Source organism: Homo sapiens, chromosome 2, assembly GCF_000001405.40.
Source record: "Homo sapiens chromosome 2, GRCh38.p14 Primary Assembly".
NCBI classification, from domain to species: Eukaryota; Metazoa; Chordata; class Mammalia; order Primates; family Hominidae; genus Homo; species Homo sapiens.
Genome location: NC_000002.12, coordinates 217,659,833 through 217,680,748, shown reverse-complemented (window position 1 = coordinate 217,680,748; position 20,916 = coordinate 217,659,833). Strand labels below are relative to the sequence as shown.

At 41.7% G+C, this 20,916-nt stretch overlaps 1 long non-coding RNA gene across 12 annotated transcripts in view, besides 1 other annotated feature; it reads left to right on the top strand.

The window, feature by feature from the left end:
* Positions 1 to 20,916, top strand: part of DIRC3 (disrupted in renal carcinoma 3) — a 506,425-nt gene that overhangs the window by 109,695 nt on the left and 375,814 nt on the right. The gene's annotated exons all lie outside the window — the stretch shown is intronic.
* Positions 14,250 to 14,299: an enhancer, noted in NCBI's record as "active region_17105". NCBI's record gives its function as "activates an Ori minimal core promoter by ATAC-STARR-seq in GM12878 lymphoblastoid cells {active_cell/tissue: GM12878}" and the evidence as "EXISTENCE:reporter gene assay evidence [ECO:0000049][PMID:35858748]".

Genomic DNA, 20,916 nt, shown 5'->3' with positions numbered 1-20,916 from the left:
GAGGCCATTCTTTAACAATGGAAAAATTTAAGGCACATATTGTTCTAGGTCACCTGTTAGATAATTGACTAGAATGTCTTAAAATTCTTGTAACTACTAGAGGAGAAAACATTCTCCAAATTCTACACTCTGAATTCCAGGCTTCTTTGTGGGGATTGGGATCAGTGAAAGTGTTCTCAAATCATTAGACCTGCAACCCAGCTGTGAAGTCCTTAAGGGCAGGGAATGTGTCTTATTCCTTGGCCTCTCACCTCCCCCTGACACACCCCAAGCATCATGCCTGGCAAACAGAAGGTCCTCAGTGAATGGTGTGTTGAATTACAATGATCTGTAACTCAGGTCCTCTGACTTCCAGCGCAGGTCATTTCTGTTATCAGGGACTCAATGAATTCTAAGACCCAAAGGTATAAATAGAGAACAGGGCTTAATTTGTTATATTGTAGATAGATATTTGGGATTTTAAAGACCAAAATCATACAAATAATAAAGACAGTTATCTCTAATGATGAAATTTCAGGCACCCTGACAGCTAGGCCACTTTTGGAAAGGTGTAGAATGTAGACCCACCTATACATGGTCACTTGATTTTCAACAAAGACACCAATGCAGTTCAGTGGAGAAAGAAGGCTCTTTTCAATGAGTGGTACTGGAGCAACTGAATATCTGTAAGGGGGATAAAAAAAAAAAACCTCCTGGTTTCTACTTCACATTATACATACAAATTAATTTGAAATAAGTTATAAGCTTAAATGTGGAAGCTAAAACAATAAAACTCATAGAAAACATAGGAGAATCCCTTGTAACCTCAGAGTAGGCAAAGAATTCTTAGGTAGAACACAAAGCTACTAACTACAAAATAATTGATAAGTTGGATTTCATAAAAAACTAAACACAAATTAATTTCTGTTCATCATGAGACACAATTAAAAAAGTGAAAAGTTAGCTACAGTATAGGGGAAAATATTTGCCAAAAGACTAGCATCAAGAATATACAAAGAACTCTTATGACTCAATTATAACAAGTCAAACAACTGAGTTTTAAAACCCAGTTTTAAAAAATCTATAAGATTGAATAGGAAATTCACAAAGATATCTAAGTGGCCAATAAAATGCTCAGTATTATTAAATATCAGGGAAATGAAAATTAAACTAATAGAGATATTATTGCACACACATTAGAATGGCTAAAATTAAAATGATTAACAATAAGAAGTGTTGGTGGGGTGTGGAGCATCTGGAACTCTTATATGCTGCTTGTTGGAGCCTAAAATACTATAGCCAGTTTGGAAAACTGTTTGACATTTTCAAATAAATATCAAATATACCTAGTCTATGATGCAACAGTTTTACTCCCAGACATATACCCAGGAGAAATGAAAATTTATGTAGAAGAAAGACTTTTCTGGGAAAGCAGGTTTATTAGTAAAAGCCCCAAACTGGAAACACCCCAAATGTCTATCAACAGGAGATCAGATAAATAAGTTATAGTATATTAATAACATGGAGTACTATTCAGCAATAAAAAGTTACTGATACAACATAGATGACTCTCAAAAACATTCTATTGTGTGAAAGACGGTAGTCACAACAGTTCATGTTGGGTGATTCTGTTATATGAAGTTTGAGAGCAGGAAAAATTAGTCTATGGTGGTAAACATTAGAAATATCATAATTTCAGGGGAGGAGTTGGGATACTGTTGACTGGGAAAGGAAAAGTATGAACTGTTCCATTTATCTATTGTTATGTGACAAACTACCCTAAAACTTGGTGGCTAAAAACAACAACCAGCACATTCTACCCCTCAATTTTGTGAGTCAGGTGTTCAGACAGGGCTTGATTAAGTAAGTCTTCTTTTTTTTTAATGTGGCACTGATAGATAGACTGGTCTTGAGGGTCCAAGATGGCTTCCCTCATGTCTGACATCTTGGCAGGCTGGTTGGAAGGCTGGGTTCAACTGGAACTCTTGACTGGAGTGCCTACATGTGGCCTTTTCAACATGGCAACCTTGGATGATCAGGGTTCTTACTTGGTATTCAGGACACCAAGAGGGAGTGTCCCAGAGAATAAGGTAGAACCTGCATGGCCTTTACTGGTTTAGCCTTGGCAGTCACACAGTGTTGCTTCTGCTGTATTCTATTGGTCAAGGAAGTCACGATCCTGCTCAGATTCAGAGAGAGGGGACATAGTACCCACCTCTCAATGAAAGGAGTTTCAAAGACTTTGCAGCCACATTTTAAAACTTCCCTAGGAACTTCATGTGGCTGATGGAAATATTCTATATTTTGATTTGGCTACATAAGTTATATATAAAATTATTGAGAGTCATACTTAAGATTTGTATACTTTATGTAAATTTTTATTTTTTATTTTATTTTATTATTATTGTACTTTAAGTTTTAGGGTACATGTGCACAATGTGCAGGTTAGTTACAGATGTATACATGTGCCATGCTGGTGTGCTGCACCCATTAACTCGTCATTTAGCGTTAGGTATATCTCCTAATGTTATCCCTCCCCGCTCCCCCACCCCACAACAGCCCTCAGAGTGTGATGTTCCCCTTCCTGTGTCCATGTGTTCTCATTGTTCAATTCCCACCTATGAGTGATAACATGCGGTGTTTGGTTTTTAGTCCTTGCGATAGTTTACTGAGAATGATGATTTCCAATTTCATCCATGTCCCTACAAAGGACATGAACTCATCATTTTTTTATGGCTGCATAGTATTCCATGCTGTATATGTGCCACATTTTCTTAATCCAGTCTATCATTGTTGGACATTTGGGTTGGTTCCAAGTCTTTGCTATTGTGAATAGTGCCGCAATAAACATACGTGTGCATGTGTCTTTATAGAAGGCCATGACATAATGGTAAAGGGATCAATTCAACAAGAAGAGCTAACTATCCTAAATCTATATGCACCCAATACAGGAGCACCCAGATTCATAAAGCAAGTACTTAGTGACCTACAAAGAGACTTAGACTCCCACACAATAATAATGGGAGACTTTTAACACCCCACTGTCAACATTAGACAGATCAACGAGACAGAAAGTTAACAACGATACCCAGGAATTGAACTCAGCTCTGCACCAAGGGGATCCTAATAGACATCTACAGAACTCTCCACCCCAAATCAACAGAATATACATCTTTTTCAGCACCACACCACACCTATTCCAAAACTGACCACATATATATATATAGTTGGAAGTAAAGCTCTCCTCAGCAAATGTATAAGAACAGAAATTATATCAAACTGTCTCTCAGACCACAGTGCAATCAAACTAGAACTCAGGATTAAGAAACTCACTCAAAACCGCTCAACTACATGGAAACTGAACAACCTGCTCCTGAATGACTACTGGGTACATAATGAAATGAAGGCAGAAATAAAGATGTTCTTTGAAACCAACGAGAACAAAGACACAACATACCAGAATCTCTGGGACACATTCAAAGCAGTATGTAGAGGGAAATTTATAGCACTAAATGCCCACAAGAGAAAACAGGAAAGATCCAAAATTGACACCCTAACATCACAATTAAAAGAACTAGAAAAGCAAGAGCAAACACATTCAAAAGCTAGCAGAAGGCAAGAAATAACTAAAATCAGAGTAGAACTGAAGGAAATAGAGACACAAAAAACCCTTCAAAAAATTAATGAATCCAGGAGCTGGTTTTTTGAAAGGATCAACAAAATTGATAGACCGCTAGCAAGACTAATAAAGAAGAAAAGAGAGAAGAATCAAATAGACGCAATAAAAAATGATAAAGGGGATATCACCACCAATCCCGCAGAAATACAAACTACTATCAGAGAATACTACAAACACCTCTATGCAAATAAACTAGAAAATCTAGAAGAAATGGATAAATTCCTCGACATATACACCCTCCCAAGACTAAACCAGGAAGAAGTTGAATCTCTGAATAGACCAATAACAGGAGCTGAAATTGTGGCAATAATCAATAGCTTACCAACCAAAAAGAGTCCAGGACCAGATGGATTCACAACCGAATACTACCAGAGGTACAAGGAGGAACTGGTACCATTCCTTCTGAAACTATTCCAATCAATAGAAAAAGAGGGAATCCTCCCTAACTCATTTTATGAGGCCAGTATCATCCTGATACCAAAGCTGGGCAGAGACACAACAAAAAAAGAGAATTTTAGACCAATATCCTTGATGAACATTGATGCAAAAATCCTCAGTAAAATACTGGCAAACCGAATCCAGCAGCCCATCAAAAAGCTTATCCACCATGATCAAGTGGGCTTCATCCCTGGGATGCAAGGCTGGTTCAATATACGCAAATCAATAAATGTAATCCAGCATATAAACAGAACCAAAGACAAAAACCACATGATTATCTCAACAGATGCAGAAAAGGCCTTTGACAAAATTCAACAACACTTCATGCTAAAAACTCTCAATAAATTAGGTATTGATGGGACGTATCTCAAAATAATAAGAGCTGTTTATGACAAACCCACAGCCAATATCATACTGAATGGGCAAAAACTGGAAGCATTCCCTTTGAAAACGGGCACAAGACAGGGATGCCCTCTCTCACCACTCCTATTCAACATAGTGTTGGAAGTTCTGGCCAGGGCAATTAGGCAGGAGAAGGAAATAAAGGGTATTCAATTAGGAAAACAGGAAGTCAAATTGTCCCTGTTTACAGACGACATGATTGTATATCTAGAAAACTCCATTGTCTCAGCCCAAAATCTCCTTAAGCTGATAAGCAACTTCAGCAAAGTCTCAGGATACAAAATCAATGTACAAAAATCACAAGCATTCTTATACACCAATAGCAGACAAACAGAGAGCCAAATCATGAGTGAACTCCCATTCACAATTGCTTCAAAGAGAATAAAATACCTAGGAATCCAACTTACAAGGGACGTGAAGGACCTCTTCAAGGAGAACTACAAACCACTGCTCAATGAAATAAAAGAGGATGCAAACAAATGGAAGAACATTCCATGCTCATGGGTAGGAAGAATCAATATCATGAAAATGGCCATACTGCCCAAGGTAATTTACAGATTCAATGCTATCCCCATCAAGCTACCAATGACTTTCCTCACAGAATTGGAAAAAACTACTTTAAAGTTCATATGGAACCAAAAGAGAGCCCGCATCGCCAAGTCAATCCTAAGCCAAAAGAACAAAGCTGGAGGCATCACACTACCTGACTTCAAACTATACTGCAAGTCTACAGTAACCAAAACAGCATGGTACTGGTACCAAAACAGAGATATAGATCAATGGAACAGAACAGAGCCCTCAGAAATAACATCGCATATCTACAACTATCTGATCTTTGACAAACCTGAGAAAAACAAGCAATGGGGAAAGGATTCCCTATTTAATAAATGGTGCCGGGAAAACTGGCTAGCCACATGTAGAAAGCTGAAACTGGATCCCTTCCTTACACCTTATATAAAAATTAATTCGAGATGGATTAAAGACTTAAACGTTAGACCTAAAACCATAAAAACCCTAGAAGAAAACCTAGGCATTACCATTCAGGACATAGGCATGGGCAAGGACTTCATGTCTGAAACACCAAAAGCAATGGCAACAAAAGCCAAAATGGACAAATGGGATCTAATTAAACTAAAGAGCTTCTGCACAGCAAAAGAAACTACCATCAGAGTGAACAGGCAACCTACACAATGGGAGAAAATTTTCACAACCTACTCATCTGACAAAGTGCTAATATCCAGAATCTACAATGAACTCAAACAAATTTACAAGAAAAAAACACAACCCCATCAAAAAGTGGGCGAAGGACATGAACAGACACTTCTCAAAAGAAGACATGTATGCAGCCAAAAAACACATGAAAAAATGCTCCCCATCACTGGCCATCAGAGAAATGCAAATCAAAACCACAATGAGATACCATCTCACACCAGTTAGAATGGCAATCATTAAAAAGTCAGGAAACAACAGGTGCTGGAGAGGATGTGGAGAAATAGGAACAGTCCCACTGTTGGTGGGACCGTAAACTAGTTCAACCATTGTGGAAGTCAGTGTGGCCATTCCTCAGGGATCTAGAACTAGAAATACCATTTGACCCAGCCATCCAATTACTGGGTATATACCTAAAGGACTACTTTATGTAAATTATATTGCAATTTAAAAAATCTGCAGAATGCATAACATTCTTAACTGTCATTTCACAACAATGCTATGAGTCAGAAATTATCTTATTTTATAGATATTTTATTCAAGGTATTATTAACTTGGCCATTATAAGACAAAACCAGGGTTCAAACCCAGGTTTAGCTGATGCCAAAATGTCTTCTCTTTTCACTAATGTCATGTGACAGAGACAAACCAGTTTCTTCCTTCCTTCCTTCCTACTTTCCTTCCTCAATTAATATCTACCAAGACCCCACTCTATGTTGGATACTGGGCTAATAATTGAGGATAAAGATAAAAAAGTAACACATATCCTTGCCTACAAGAGGCTCATAGCTTGTAGAAGAAGACAGATCCATATATAAATGTCTCTTCTACAATGTTGAATATATTTTATATTATGTTGAACATATTTTATGAACTCTCAAATCAAGACTCTATGAAATGAATGGGCACAAAGGGCACAAAGAATATTTGAAATGAGAACTTGTTCCAGGAAACATATTGTCACAGTAGACTAGCACATTTACAAAGCTCTAGTGGGGTCCAGAAGAAGGAGCATGGGAAGCATTGCTGGAATAGAGTGTGATCATTGCTCAGCGTCACCCAAGTGCCTATCACTGTGCTTTACAGTCACGATCTCTCCCGATTCTGACAACATCCCTTCCTCAGTGTTATTTGCCTCATTTTGCACTTGAGGAAACTGAAACTAAGCGAGATTAAGGAATTTTCCCAGGTCTTGTTGCCAGTGGGTAGCAGAGTCTGGATCTGATCCTAGATTTGACTGTTTATTTTGGGGGAGAGCTTGAAAGGTCTTTGATCTCATTACTCCTTCCTTTGCTTCTTGTTGAGCACTTGGGGGTTGCATACCTACTATGCTCTTGCTTCTCTTTGTGCTTCCCAAGTTCAGCTTTCTTCCACTGGCAGTTTGTACTGGTTTTGCAAGAGCCTATTGTTAAATTTCTTCCCAACTCTGAGCTCAGTGATATTCATGTTTGTGGCTTAAAACTGGCTATGGTGGAAATGTTCACAGCGTGGAAATTAGCAAATACTGCAAATCAAGGGGACATTTTTGGTGGGGAGGGCATGGGTGAGACCAACTTTTCCAGCACACCACTGCTTTACTTCCACAGAGCTAGACCCTGAAGGTCTATGCTTAGTTACATCTTAGCCTTTTGACTTTGTATTTCAGAAGTGTGCTTTATCCAGTTAAATTCTTGCATGTAAATTTAATTTGCTTAGATTTTATTCTCTTAAAAGGTTTCTTGTTGTTGTTGCACTTGTTTTGTTTGGGGGCTCGAATTTGATTTTAGTTTATCCCTTACTTACCTATTCCTTCTGCTTTTCGTAATCTTAATGCAGTTGGGAGAGATTTGGTCCAGACTTTAGCTGCCACAACTTTGTGCTTTGACCTTGTTACCGGACTCCCCAGGTGAACTGCTACCTTCACCTCCCACCCAGTCCATGACTATACAGGCCATCTGCTCTGAGACCTCTGTCTCTGTCATTGCCTTCCATGATCCATCTTTCATGCCTTTTTTCCCCCCGCTTTTTTGGCATTCACAGGCTGCTAGAATTCAGTTAGCTTTGACTAACAGGTGTTGATGTGTTGATTTCTTTAAAAAAAGTCTATTTTTCTTTGTCAGCTACCCAATGTATCTCACCATTGTCACCAGCCAGCCTGAGATATAAGGGTCTTAGCTGGAGAATATAGAGGGCCAGCTCTCTGGAAAGTGTGTGGGGCTCTGTCAACTAGCAGGAGGCTTGGAGAGCCTGCAGCATTGTGCTGGCCTGGTTTAGAGAGGCCACTGGCCTGGTTGTTGGGACTGGGCGTACCCTGGGTTATTTCCTTCAGGAGTTGAGTGGGGCCTGATTTTCTAGTTTTTCTGGTCACATGGGTGGATTTACCTCATCCATCTTCTGCTCAAGCTCTCCCTGTACCTAAATAAAGATAACTGCGAGACAGCCCAGTGTGAACTAACCAGCTCATCCACAGCCCAACCCATGATACTGGCAGCCTGACTTTGGTCTTCCAGCACATTGATAGAGTGTTTACTGAATGCCAGGTGTTCTGCCAAAGGCTTCAGCAGCATTGTCTCATTTAATTCTGACAACGACTCCAATGAGGAAGCTAAGTCTCAGAGAGATTAAATACCTTCTGTGTGTGAGTCAGAATTTGAACTCAGGATTGCCTTTTTTTTTTTTCTTCAGTTGACACAATCTCCTAATCTCTCGGCTATACTCTTCTGGCTCTCTGGAGGCTATAACCATTTAACCATCAGTTAATACCACCTTAGTCTCCGGGTGAACAACACAAAGGCACAGAAGCAGCCATTCTGGCAGATGGAGGGGCACAGCCTGATCTGCTGCCCAAGAAGGGAACCAGCCCTCATTGCCACCAATACCAGCAGCATTGTCTCATTTAACTCTGACAATGACTCCGATGAGAAAGCTAAGTCTCAGAGAGATTAAATAGCATGTGAGTCAGAATTTGAACTCAGGATTGCCTTTTTTCCAGTTGACACAATCTCTTAATCTCTTGGTTATGCTCTCCTGGCCCTCTGGAGGCTATAACCCACTTAACCCTCAGTTAATACCACCTATCTATGTGTCAGACTCATGGCCAGAAGTACAGAGATAACTGAGACACAATTCTCGCCTTTGAGGAGTTCTCAATCTAGTGGGCAAGACAGATACTCTTGAACACAAATAATTCTAATCAGAGCATTAGTAGGAGCTCAGGTAGTTGATGTGGAATTGAAAAGGGCTTAGTCTCCTGTGTTTGGGGATGGAGTGAAACTGGGGATGGTTCCTGAAGGGCAGGGTTCTCTAAGCAGGTCTGAGAAGTGCAGGACTTGGCCTCCTCACAGTGAGTGCAGAGACCTGTCTTCACAGAGCCAGAGAGAGCAGATGAGCCACCCATCACCTCAAGGGACTATGATCTAATAGGAGATAGAGTCAATGCTGATGAAATGTCTTACAGATTTTTACATCCAAAGCCTAGACACCTGTATGTCTATATATAAAAGATCATTAGAATGCCTGCACTGGGATGGGGGTGGGGGTGGGGAGCTTCAGCAGGATGTCGGAGAAGGGTCTACAGAGAATTGGGAGGCCAGCTTTAAGACTCAGAATCACCCTGGCCACTCACTTGCTTTGTGACCTTGGGAAAGTTGTTTCTTCTGTCTAGAACTTAGTTTCTCAATTTGTAAAATGACTTTGTGCCAGAATGAACTTACAATGGCTTTTCACATCTGGGGTCCCAAGAGACTGTGCATTCTCTCTCAGTTGAAATGCAGAGGGAGATTCTGACCAGGGGCTGGTTCCCCTCTTGGGCAGTAGATCAGGCTGTGCTTTTCCATCTGCCAGACTGGCTGCTTCTGTGTCTCTGTGTTGTTCGCCCAGAGACTAAGGCCTTTCAACTCCCCAAATCCCCATTTAGGAGACACAGTGTTGTGTCTGTTCTTTGGCCTGACATGCTGTCCTAGAATGTGGTTTTGCTTTTACCCTTGTTCCCTCTCCTCCTCTACCTTAGGTTCAGGGAAGCACAGCTAGAACCTAAATACATTGGTGAAAAGACAGGCAACTACCAGGTGTGTGTTCTTTTTTCAACATCTTGTCTTCTCATTTTTTGGACTGCATTGAGCCTCTAGGCCTAATTGGAATCCTGTTTCCTCTGTGAATATGTTCCTGGTTTCTGAGGCCTACAGTTACCTCTCTTATCTCGAAACATCTGTGCTACTCTCAGTCCAAACACTTATATTGGGACATTAATATTTAGTTTAAGTGCCGCCATCAACCACCTGTGCTCTAGGTGTTGGACTAGAGCCGTGGTCAGCAAGCTATGATTCCTTGCCCATTGCCCATTTTTATAAATATAGTTTTATTAGAACTCACTCACGCCATTTACCTGTCATCCATGGTGGCTTTCATGGGACACAACAGAGTTGAGTAGTTGTGACAGACACTACATAGCCTTCAAAGGCTGAAATATTTGCTATCTGGCGCTTTGCAGAAAATGTTTGCCAGTCCCTGGACTAGAATATTGTTAAGCTTTCTATGGTTTTGAAAAGAGATGACCCGCATTCTCTTATTTACCTAATACATATATTCATCATTTACCTAATACATATATTCAATCTACTAGATGCCTGCTTGTGCAAGGTGTTGGGGATACATACAGTGATTGGCTTCCTTCATGACACTTAAATTCTGTTCTGCCACAATCATTCCAATATGCCATGACAATTTCTTCCCTCTGCTTGGAATGCCCTTCTTTACTTCGTGACTAATCCCAATCCATTCTTTAAGATTATTCAGAATCCCATCCTCACCCCTCCAGTCCAGGCTATGTGTACTTCTTTGTACTTCTGTAGAATCATATCTACTATTTATCTTGATGATGATACTTATATCATTACAGTGAAAATAGCTGTTCAGTGTTCCTTCATTTATTCACCATAAATTATATGCCAAGCACTTTGCTAGCTTCAGCGATTCCAAGTCAATGAATCATGGCCCAAGAGGCTTTTAAGAGTGTAGAAGAGAAAATATTGATTCTTCCTTGCTGTGGTTTGAACATGTCCCTCTAAAGTTGATGTGTTGGAAACTTGATCCCCAGTGCAACAGTGTTGAGAGGTGGGACCATCAAGAGGTTGATTAGGTCATGAGGGCTCTGCCACATGAATAAATTAATGCCATTATTATGGAACCAGGCATCTCATTAAAAAATGAGTTCAGCCGTCTCGTTACTCTTACTCTCTCTTGCTCTTCTGCCTTCCACTTGAGATGACACAGTAAGAGGGCCACCACCAGATGCTGGTGCCATGCATTTGAACTTCCTGGCTTTCAGAAACCAATAAATTCCCATTCTTTTTAAATACCCAGTCTTAGATATTCTGTTATAGCAGCACAGAATGAACTAAGACACCCTTCAGCAACATATGGCAAACACCATCATTAAGATTCTGTCCAAATTACTTAAGAGTGATTGTATGACCAGAATGGATTTTCCATTTTCTTCTTGCCTACACTGCCACTGAGCCTGGGCTAGCCAGCAGGTGGGTAGTAAGGTAGAGACAGTCCTAGCCTTAGACCTGGGTGAATGGCACCCCTGCCCTAGGTCTCACACTTAAGAAGGCCCTACACTGGCTGTTTTCTTCTTACATCCTTCTCAGGGGGCAACATCAAGGGATTTGCCTCCCTGAAACCTATGGTTTGCACCAGCTTCTAGACCATGTTCCTAGTACCCAACTCCTTGAAATCCTTGCTCAAATGGCCCTGAGCCTTCCCTGGGTCTATCCTCTCAGGGTGGACTACACTGCCAGTGTACAGATCCCTAGATCCCAGAGATGGCCAAGAAGAGGCTATTTGTGGGGTCTGGGGGTTGTGGACAGAGCTTGGGTGAACAGCCCATGGTAATCACATGTGTGTGTGTAAGGAACTAAGGAAGGGGGAAAAAGAGAGGTAAATCATTGGCCAGGGGGCAGGGGCTGTGGATGTGGGCAATGATGGACACTTCCAAATCCAAATCTAGCCATTGAGATCACTATGAAGTTTTTTTGTTGTTTTGTTTTGTTTTGTTTTGTTTTTGAGGAGATGCTAAAATAGTACAGAAAGCTCTTGCATATCCTTTACCCAGATTTCCCTAATTTTAACATCTTAAACAGTCATGGTGCCATTATAGAAATAAATGAACACTAGTATGATACTATTAAATAAATGATAGATTGAAAATTAGTAGCTAATGCCTAAGCCAGAAAGGCCCTCATCTTGAAGGGGATGACTTCCACAGCTAGAACTGGGGTCCTGGAGTTTGGGATTTCTAGGCACACAGAACTGACTCTTGTCAGTAAACCTATGATCATGGGAAGCCAGAAGCCCCTCCCCACCAGAGGGGTCCTTAGAGGTCCACTTAGTGGCGTTACATTAGCCCAGTAACATCCCGATATTCTCTTCAGCTCCCTGATTCCACCACGTGCGATTTGATGACAGAGAAAATAGCGTTCTCCAGGGCTTAGATACATTTCATGAGAAGCCCATGGGGTCTAAGAATCAAGAAACTTTGACTATTAGATTGTATTAGATTTTAGAATGGATTAGATTACACAATACAGGTGATTGAAGAAGCCAAGTGATGTATCCACATGTACACACATGCAAGTTCTCATCTTTTTCTTCTTAATTCCCCTGTCTCTTTGCCTTGCTTGCCACCTGCTCAAGAGTGAAGAGCGTTAGACAGCAGTGAGGAGGTCCTGGTCCTCTGTTCTGAGCTCAGTGACCTTGGGCATGCCGTCTGGTCTCGGGCAAATAACTTCACCCTTTGGCCTCCTACCTGACACCTGAGAGGAGACTGACCCAACACTCTTTAAGATTTCTTTCACCTCTGACTTTTTTTTTGTATTTTCCCTTCTCTATTTGTGATTTTTATTCTACTCACCCTTCTCATTCTCACGTTCTTCTCATTTTTCTCTCGCCTTTCCACTGTTATTTTTCTGCTTTTCTTGAACTTTCTCCTGTTTCTCCACCATTGCTCCTCTCACCCCATTCCTCTCTTCCTCCACCTCTTTTTAACTCCCACCTTCCTCTTTTCCCACTTTACATTTCTTTCTCTTCCTTATCCCTCCCCACATTTCTCGTCCCTCCATTTCAGTATAATCTTTCTTATATACAAGGCCTTTATGGCCCACCAAATTCTTGTGACAATTATTTCCAATGAGAGAGGAAAAAAAGAGGGAATTAAATCATAGTATTGGCAGCTGGCATTTTGCTTCCGTCACAGAAAAATGTCCCCGGCTTCCTTGAATATTGAAACACTGATGAAGAACAGATTTTCTCTGGCAGTGCAAATTCCCCTCTGTCCAAGTTTGGCAGAGGGACTGCCTTGCTTGATGTTATTATAGGCGTTTCAATTCATTCCTTGCTTAGTAGAGTTGGAACACATTTCAGCCAACCCCTGTATTGATGTAAAACTGTTTTTATTTGCAATGTGAGTGTATTAAAAATATATATACATTTCCACTGATTTCTGGCACTGGAGCAGCTGGGATCTGATGACTTCCAGCAGGAAGGCCTGGGTTTTCCACCCTACCTCCAAGGGGAGAGTGCTGGAATTTAGAAGCTCCCTTTGTCCCCACCTTCTTGTTAGACTTCACTGACTTTAATAAACATTTTCTTTTCTTTGGATTCCTCAGTGACATAGAATCAGATGGATGTCAATTGTCTGGGGTTTTCCAGAGGTCATCCTCTCTAGCCCCACATTGACAAGGGGTCTGAATTGGGCAGGGTCTGAGTGAGCTGTTAGGGATGATGCAAAGAAAAGGGGAGAAGTCAAACATGAAAAAATGTACAGATACCGAGATGTAGTGATTTCACTGTAATTCTGTTCATGTACAGGAGGACACAAGAGTGAATGGGTGATGAGTGAGGAGATACAGAGACCGGCTGGCAAGCTGGGTAGAAGAAGCTATGAAGGAGGCAGAGGTAGTTTGCTTGATGGGAGTGCTGGAATGTTTGGGAAGGCCAGAAGCAATGGCTAATGTCAGAGAGCTGCTCTTTTTTGGCAAGAACTGTATCCCTTCTGACAGGGTAGATTCATTCTTTTGTTGTCAAGTACTTCCTTCTCTAAACCTCCCCATCAGGCACACCTGGATGCAAGCTCTTTGGGTCAGAGCCACAGCTATCATGTTCATAGAATTCCAGAGTTGGCAGAGACCTTAGAAACCACCTAGTCCAAGGGTTTTAACCTGGAGCTCCTGAGAATTCTAAGAATGCCCTGAAATGAATAATGAAATTGCCTAGGTGCCCATCTTCCCAGGGCATGAAGGGAAGGCATAGCTTTCCTACAGGTCATTCCTGGAGGACACTGGGATTAAAAAAGGCTTCAAACCATTGGAATAATTCAGTCCCCACATTGAATATCTGGGGGAACTGAGGACTAGCAAGGTGATGTGGCTGCACTGAGGCCTTGTAGAGGGTTATTGTAATGCTTTCCATTTACAGATGATGAAACGGGTCTGGGGAATTTCAGTGACTCAGAAAGTTAGCAGAAGAGCTGGGCTAAAGCTGGTGTCCCAGCCCTCAGTCCAGGGGCCTCTTTCCTACATCACCATCTTTCCTCCTAGGCTACTGCTGCCTCCTTAGGTCTCCTCGTTTATATCAGGCAACAGCAATGGCTGCCTGTACCAGACTTCCACTACCCACTTCTGGGAGCTGACAATCCTAGAAAGGTGTTTGAGTGGTGCTGGCTTTCATGAGACAGGTGCTCGTGGTGATCTTGTTTATTACAGTCAGCATTCTAATCTGCAATGTAGTGGCTCAAATGTCTTCAGTTTAGGGGACCAATGAATGAAAACTTTAAGACTGAGGTTGATAGTACGTGATGCAGCCCCCATCTACCTGCACTTCCTATACCTATAACTCATGCTCCGAAATGAATGCAGATTCAGTCAAGTGAGGAGTGGACATAAGGGTCAAGAGGACTTGGCAACGATTTCGTTAATTCTTTCTGGCTTTGTCACTTCTCACTATGGGCTCTAAGTTCTAGTTAGTCTCATCAGTTTTCCATTCATTGAATGCACCATGTTATTCTACACTTTTGGTATAAGCTGCTCCTTTTGCCTGGAATACTCTTCCCTTGGAATGCCTTCTTCGTTTTAAGACTTGTTCCAAAAGCTGCCCCTTCTGTGAAGCCTTTTCTGACTCTCCTAGGCAGAGTTGGGGGCTCCTTCTTCCTCTCCATGTTCCTGATACAGAGTTTATCACAAGGTTCGATGAGGATTGGCACAGACGTCGATGTCCTATCTGTACTGAGAACTCCTGGAGGATGGGGGCTGTATAGCACACTATAGAGCAGTGATTCTCATTGGGGATTAGTTTGTCCCCTAGGAGTGGTGTTGTTATTAATGACATTTGGGAGGCAGAGTTCAGAGGTACTACTAAACAGTCTATAATGTATGGGACAGCCCCACCCACCAACCCTGCCCACAACAAATGATTGTCAGGTCCCAGATGTCAATGTACTGTAGAGAATCAATAATCCCTGGTTGAATTTCTCAAATTGCTGGCACAAGTGTGTCAAGGGTTAATATAGTCTTAGAACGGCACTGTGTTCATATCCTGGTGGATAAGCCAGGGAGTATGGCCTTTGAGTACAGTGGTACAGACCAACAAAATAAATTTTAAGAATGTTCCAAACACTTGGTTTGTGTCCTAAGAACTTTTTGTGAATCTGTCAGCTCCTGGAGAAAATGATATTGAAGGTTCCTTCCAACCTTGGTATTCTAGAATTCAGTGCACACCAAGCCTGTCATGAGCAGGCAAAGATAAAGGCTGCTGGCTGTTTGAACTGGAGACCTCATTCAGGAAGATCTCATTTTTTGGAAACTCTATCCATGCTCTCAAATGTACTAAAGTTCTTTAAATGAAGAATTTTTTCCCCCTTTGAGAACTTGTTGCAAGGTAAAATGCAGACCACTAGTAGAATTTTGAGCATATTCTACTAATCAACCATATTCTTGAGTGTTTATCTTGGAAAGAATACATCAACAAATTCTCCTTAAATAGTCAGCATAAATGCTAAGAAATTTTCTTTAGTTCAACCCAAGTCATTGTTGGCAAAGCGTGCTGCTTGGGAAGACTCAGGCAGAGACAGTGCCAACATGTGGGTCCACTCAGGAGGGGACTGGAACTGGGATGCTAAGGAGGGGAGGGTTGTTTACATTCATGGGAGGAAGAGAGGTAGCAGGAAGGAGGAATATAAGGAGGTTGTTTGGCAGACAGTGAAGTCTAGAGAAAAGCATGGGACAGGAGAACCGTGTGGGGTTCCACAGGAAGGCTGGTCTGATAAGAGTGGAGGATGTTTTTTTTTTTTTGGTTTTTTTTTTTTTTTTTTTTTTTTTTAGGGACAGAGTCTTGCTCTGTGGCCCAGGCTGGAGTGCAGTGGCATGATCTTGGCTCACTGCAAGCTCCGCCTCCCAGGCTGATGCCATTCTCTTGCCTCAGCCTCCCCCAGCACGAGTAGCTGGGATTACAGGCTCCCGCTACCACGCCCGGCTATTTTTTTTTTTTTTTTGTATTTTTTAGTAGAGATGGGGTTTCATCCTGTTAGCCAGGATGGTCTCGATCTCCTGACCTCGTGATCTGCCCGCCTGGGCCTCCCAAACTCCTGGGATTACAGGCGTGAGCCACCACACCCAGCCGGAGGATGGGTTTTACACATGGTCTTGGATGAGTTGACTCAGTTTCATTGGAGGTGGGTTCAGTCCAAAAGCACAAGAAAGTGCTTCTATATCTCTAAGAGTAGTGGTCCCCCAAACCAGCAGCTCATTAGAATCACCTGAGCACCTTTTAAAACATTTAGATTCCAAAGTCCCATCCTTGGAGGGTCTGATTGTGTGGGTTTGGGGTGAGGCCCAGGAATCTTTAATTTATAAAAGTTCTCCAGGTGATTTTTGACACTCATTCAGGTTTGGCAGTCAGTGCTTCAGATAGAGAAAACTAACTGTGGAGCTGCTGATGGCTAAGGGGTTGCAAAGGCATGGATCATCAGTCAAACAATTGAAGAGATGTGGGACTGTGTTAGGTGATGCGAAAGGTGCAAGACATGGAGTGGCCATTTTTAAAGAGCTTGTAAAGTGTTTCAGAAAAGGCAGTGGGTGCAAACCCAAGGAGAGTTGACTGTGCAAATAATACAAGAGGGCCTGGCAAGGGGCAAATTGGTGGTTGAAGTGACTGGGGTGGACAGAGAACTTCAGGGAAGGGTTGAGGTGGATGTGAGCCCTTCCTGGAATGATGGGTAGATGTCACTGGGCAGGGTAGATTCAGGCAAAGGCTTCAGGTTTATAAATTCAGGGAGACAAACGAGGAAGAGGTCATGGGGTGCAGTTGTGCGATATCCAGGGTTTGGAAAAAGGCTTTGGTCTTGGATTCAGGAAGGATGGGCATAGCAAGGAATCTTTTGGGAAATTCAGTGGATTTGTTGCCAGGGGACCTCTCTTCCCCTCCTTGTCTCAGGGCTGTGCCATTATGTTTCTCAAAGAGGGGCCTGCTTGAGTCCAGGGTGTGTGGCTACAACTACTCAGAGATCTGGCAGGTACATCTGTCGTCGAGGAAAGAACTTGGATGTGAGACTTTAAGAGCCTCTGAGGACACAGCTGATGTCCAGGCTGCAGTCATTCCCCACCTAGGGGTGTGAACATATCTGGCCACAGTCATTCCAGCCCTGTTTACAAGTGTTTCTCTTCCCCTCCAAATAAAACCAATTAGATGATTTTGCTCCTCAAGCAACAACCTTACTAAAAAAAAATAGCTTGTATTTATTGAGGGCTTACTCTAGACCTGATATATAGAAAAAGGGTTTCAGTTGCATTTTCTTAATGGATCTCAACATAAATTCTTGTGATAGTTACTATATGAGTCAGTTTTCCAGAGAAACAGAGCAAATAAAGACAGATTTGGCCCCAGTAATGATGGAGACTGGCAAGATCTGCAGAGCCAATGCTCTACAGACTATTGGGTAGGAGAATTTTTTCTTACTCAGGGGAGAGTCAGTCTCCTGTTATATTCCGGCCTTCAACTGGATAAGGTCCACCCACATTATGGAAGGCAACTTGCTTTACCTAGTCTACTAATTTAAATGTTAACTTCATGCAAACACCCTCACAGAAACAGTCAGAATAATGTTTGCCCAAATGTGTGGCCCAGTCAAGTTGACACATGAAATCAACCATCATAGGTACTATGAAGATCAACTTTCTTATTTTGTAGAGGAGGAAGGGAGGCACAGATAGGTGGAGTAAAGTGCCCAAGGTGACATGGCTAGTAGGCAGCGGAGCTGGGGTTTCAGCTTATGGAGCCACTGCCTGACCTTCCTAAGCTTTGGCTTTTAATAACTATCTCCCTCATGGAAAGGGAGGGAGATAGTAAATCACTCCTGCTGTGATTCTGAATAAATAGGAATTAGTATTAAATTATGAACTTCAAACAAAATCAAGTGCAGAAGCACAGCATGGTGAAAGTCAACTGAAGTTGCAAGGCATGGCAATCATAAATCATTGCTCCTTTTTTATTTATTTATTTTTTGGGGATGGAGTTTCACTCTTGTTGCCCAGGCTAGAGTGCAATGGTGCAATCTCGGCTCACCGCAACCTCCGCTTCCTGGGTTCAAGCAATTCTCCTGCCTCAGCCTCCCAAGTAGTAGCTGGGATTACAGGTGCATGCCACACCTCCTGGCTAATGTTTTGTATATAGTAGAGACGGGGTTTCACCATGTTGGTCAGGCTGGTCTCAAACTCTTGATCTCAGGTGATCCACCAACCTCGGCCTTCCAAAGTGCTGGGAATACAGGCATGAGCCACTGTGCCCAGCCAAATCACTGCTATTAAGAAAGTTAATGCAAATCACTAAATCACTCCTAAGGTGCTCTAGCAAACCAAAGTGGATATCTTAGACCTCTGAATGTCTCTACCATACCTTCCTAGATGCCTAGAGTTACCCCAGGAAGCAAAGTATTTGGGGGGCATCATTAAACATTTTGCCCTATGGTCTTTTGTTTTCTGGGGGCAGACAGGGTGTATGTGTCTTCTATCAGCTAGCTATTAGGCTTAATCAGCAAGCCTCAGCCTGTCTGATTTATCTAGGGACACTGCATCCTCGCTGGGCCAAGGGATGGAGAGCTTGATATGTAAGCTTAGCAGGAGCAGGCTCGATCTCTTGTCTGTGGCCTGATCTCCTTTGCCACCACCGGGGCAACCTGAATAGCCCAAGAACAGCAAGGAGACACTGAACTCTTGGAGGAAGTAGCAGGCTTCTGAAAGGACTGTGTTTGCTTAATATTTCCAGTGGTGGGAACCTCACAAAGTAACCCATTTTATTTTTAAAGCACTAAAGTAACTTTCCTCTCCTATTGAGATCTGCTTCCTCTTATTCCAGAGTAACAGAATAAATTGTCTCTTTCTTACAGGAAAACCTTTGAAATATTTGAAAACTGGGATCATTTCCCCATGAGACTTTTCTTCTCTAAGCAAAATACTTTCAGTTTCTTCTAGCATTCTTTTTGTGATGTGGTTTATAGACCCATTTTTGGCCTTGTCTTCCTCTGGCTATGGTCTATGCCCTCCTTTTTAAATCCCAAATGTTCTACTTCCAATCTGACCAATGCACTAATAAAGTAGAAATATCACCTCTAAAGTCTTGAACATTAGGTATTTGTTGATGCAGCCCAGCTGCATTAACTTTCTTAAGAGAAATTATTTATTATTGTCTTGTCTTACACCTGCAGTTAACTTAAATTATCTTTTACCCCGCTATGCTTTTGCACTTGATTTTTTTAAATTTGAAGTTCAGAATTTAGTTTAATGAATTAATTCCTATTTATTAAGAATTGAATAGTAATTCTTTTGTTTGTTAGTTATGACTCATATTGCAATCTGACTCTGCCATCTAACATCTCTCTACTGATTTGTGGCTAAGGGAAAATAGGGAGGAACATTGAAGAGAAAGACCTCTTCTCCACACCTTTGTCTAATGATGTTCTTCTGCAGGAGGAAGGAGAACTGCAGAATACTGGTCCTATATTGGGGAGTGGAGAATCCAAGGCTTTTAAGGGGTAGGATTAGGATCCAGGCCAATATGCAAGAAGTGAGTTCCTAAAATGGAAAAAGAAGACGATGCTGCATTTTCCTTTTCTGTTTTCCCTTGTGTCTGGGATCTGAGAACAAGAGTGAATCCAGTAGCTAAGGACACAGATCTTGATGGAAAGACCTAGTGCAAAGGATCCAGTTGGTATTCAAAGCTTTTGTATGTACCCTTTATGTTTCCTTTGGGGCTTAATCTGGTTTCTTTCAGGTCATTGGGCCCAGAAGCTAATAGAAGATATGGTTCTTGCCCTTGGAAAGAAGCTGACTGGTTTGGGGAAGAAGATTTGCATGTGTGAAACCACAACAAAGTGTCTAGGAATGAAGACAAATTTGTGCTAAGTGGTGTGGAGTTGACCACAAGCCACAAGGGGGTCTATGTAGGAGGGTACAGGAGAGGGACAGGCCCACCAGGGAGTATCCCAGAGGAAGTGGGAATAGAGCTGGATTCTGAAGGATTTGGAAGGAGAAGAAAGAAGCAAAGTCTTTTAAGGGTAAAGAAGGACATGAACAAAGTGGGTGGTGGTGACAATATCTCTGCAGAGACTGAGGGATGGAAAACAGACCGGTTCTTCTTCAGACAATGGAAAAACTCTCTGCTGAGAAATACTTGTTGGCAAAAACCTTTCAAAGTCCCCATTCTTGGATCTGACTCGGCTTCACCATTTCTCTAACCACCAGCCAAATCTAGGCGCTCTTTTCCTCGTTTCCGGATTCTTTTTTAAAATTAAAAATTTAAATTTATTAATTTAAAACAAATAATAATTGTGTTTATTTAAGAGAGTACCATGTGATGTTTTGATCTATGTATATATTATAGAAAGGGTTAATCTAATTAACATATCTATCACCTTGCCAACTTAGCAATGTTTTTCATGGTGAGGACATTAAACATCTATTCCTTTAGCATTTTTGAACTATACAATACATTAGGAACTGTGGTCATCATGCAGTGCAATGGATCACTAAAATATCTTATTCTTCCTGTCTAACTGAAACTTTGTACCCATTGACCAACATCTTCTTTCCCATTCCACCTCCTCCCCCTCAGCCTCTGATAACCACCTTTCTAGTCTCTGTTTCTATGAGGTCAAATTTGTTAGATATCACATATAAGTGAGA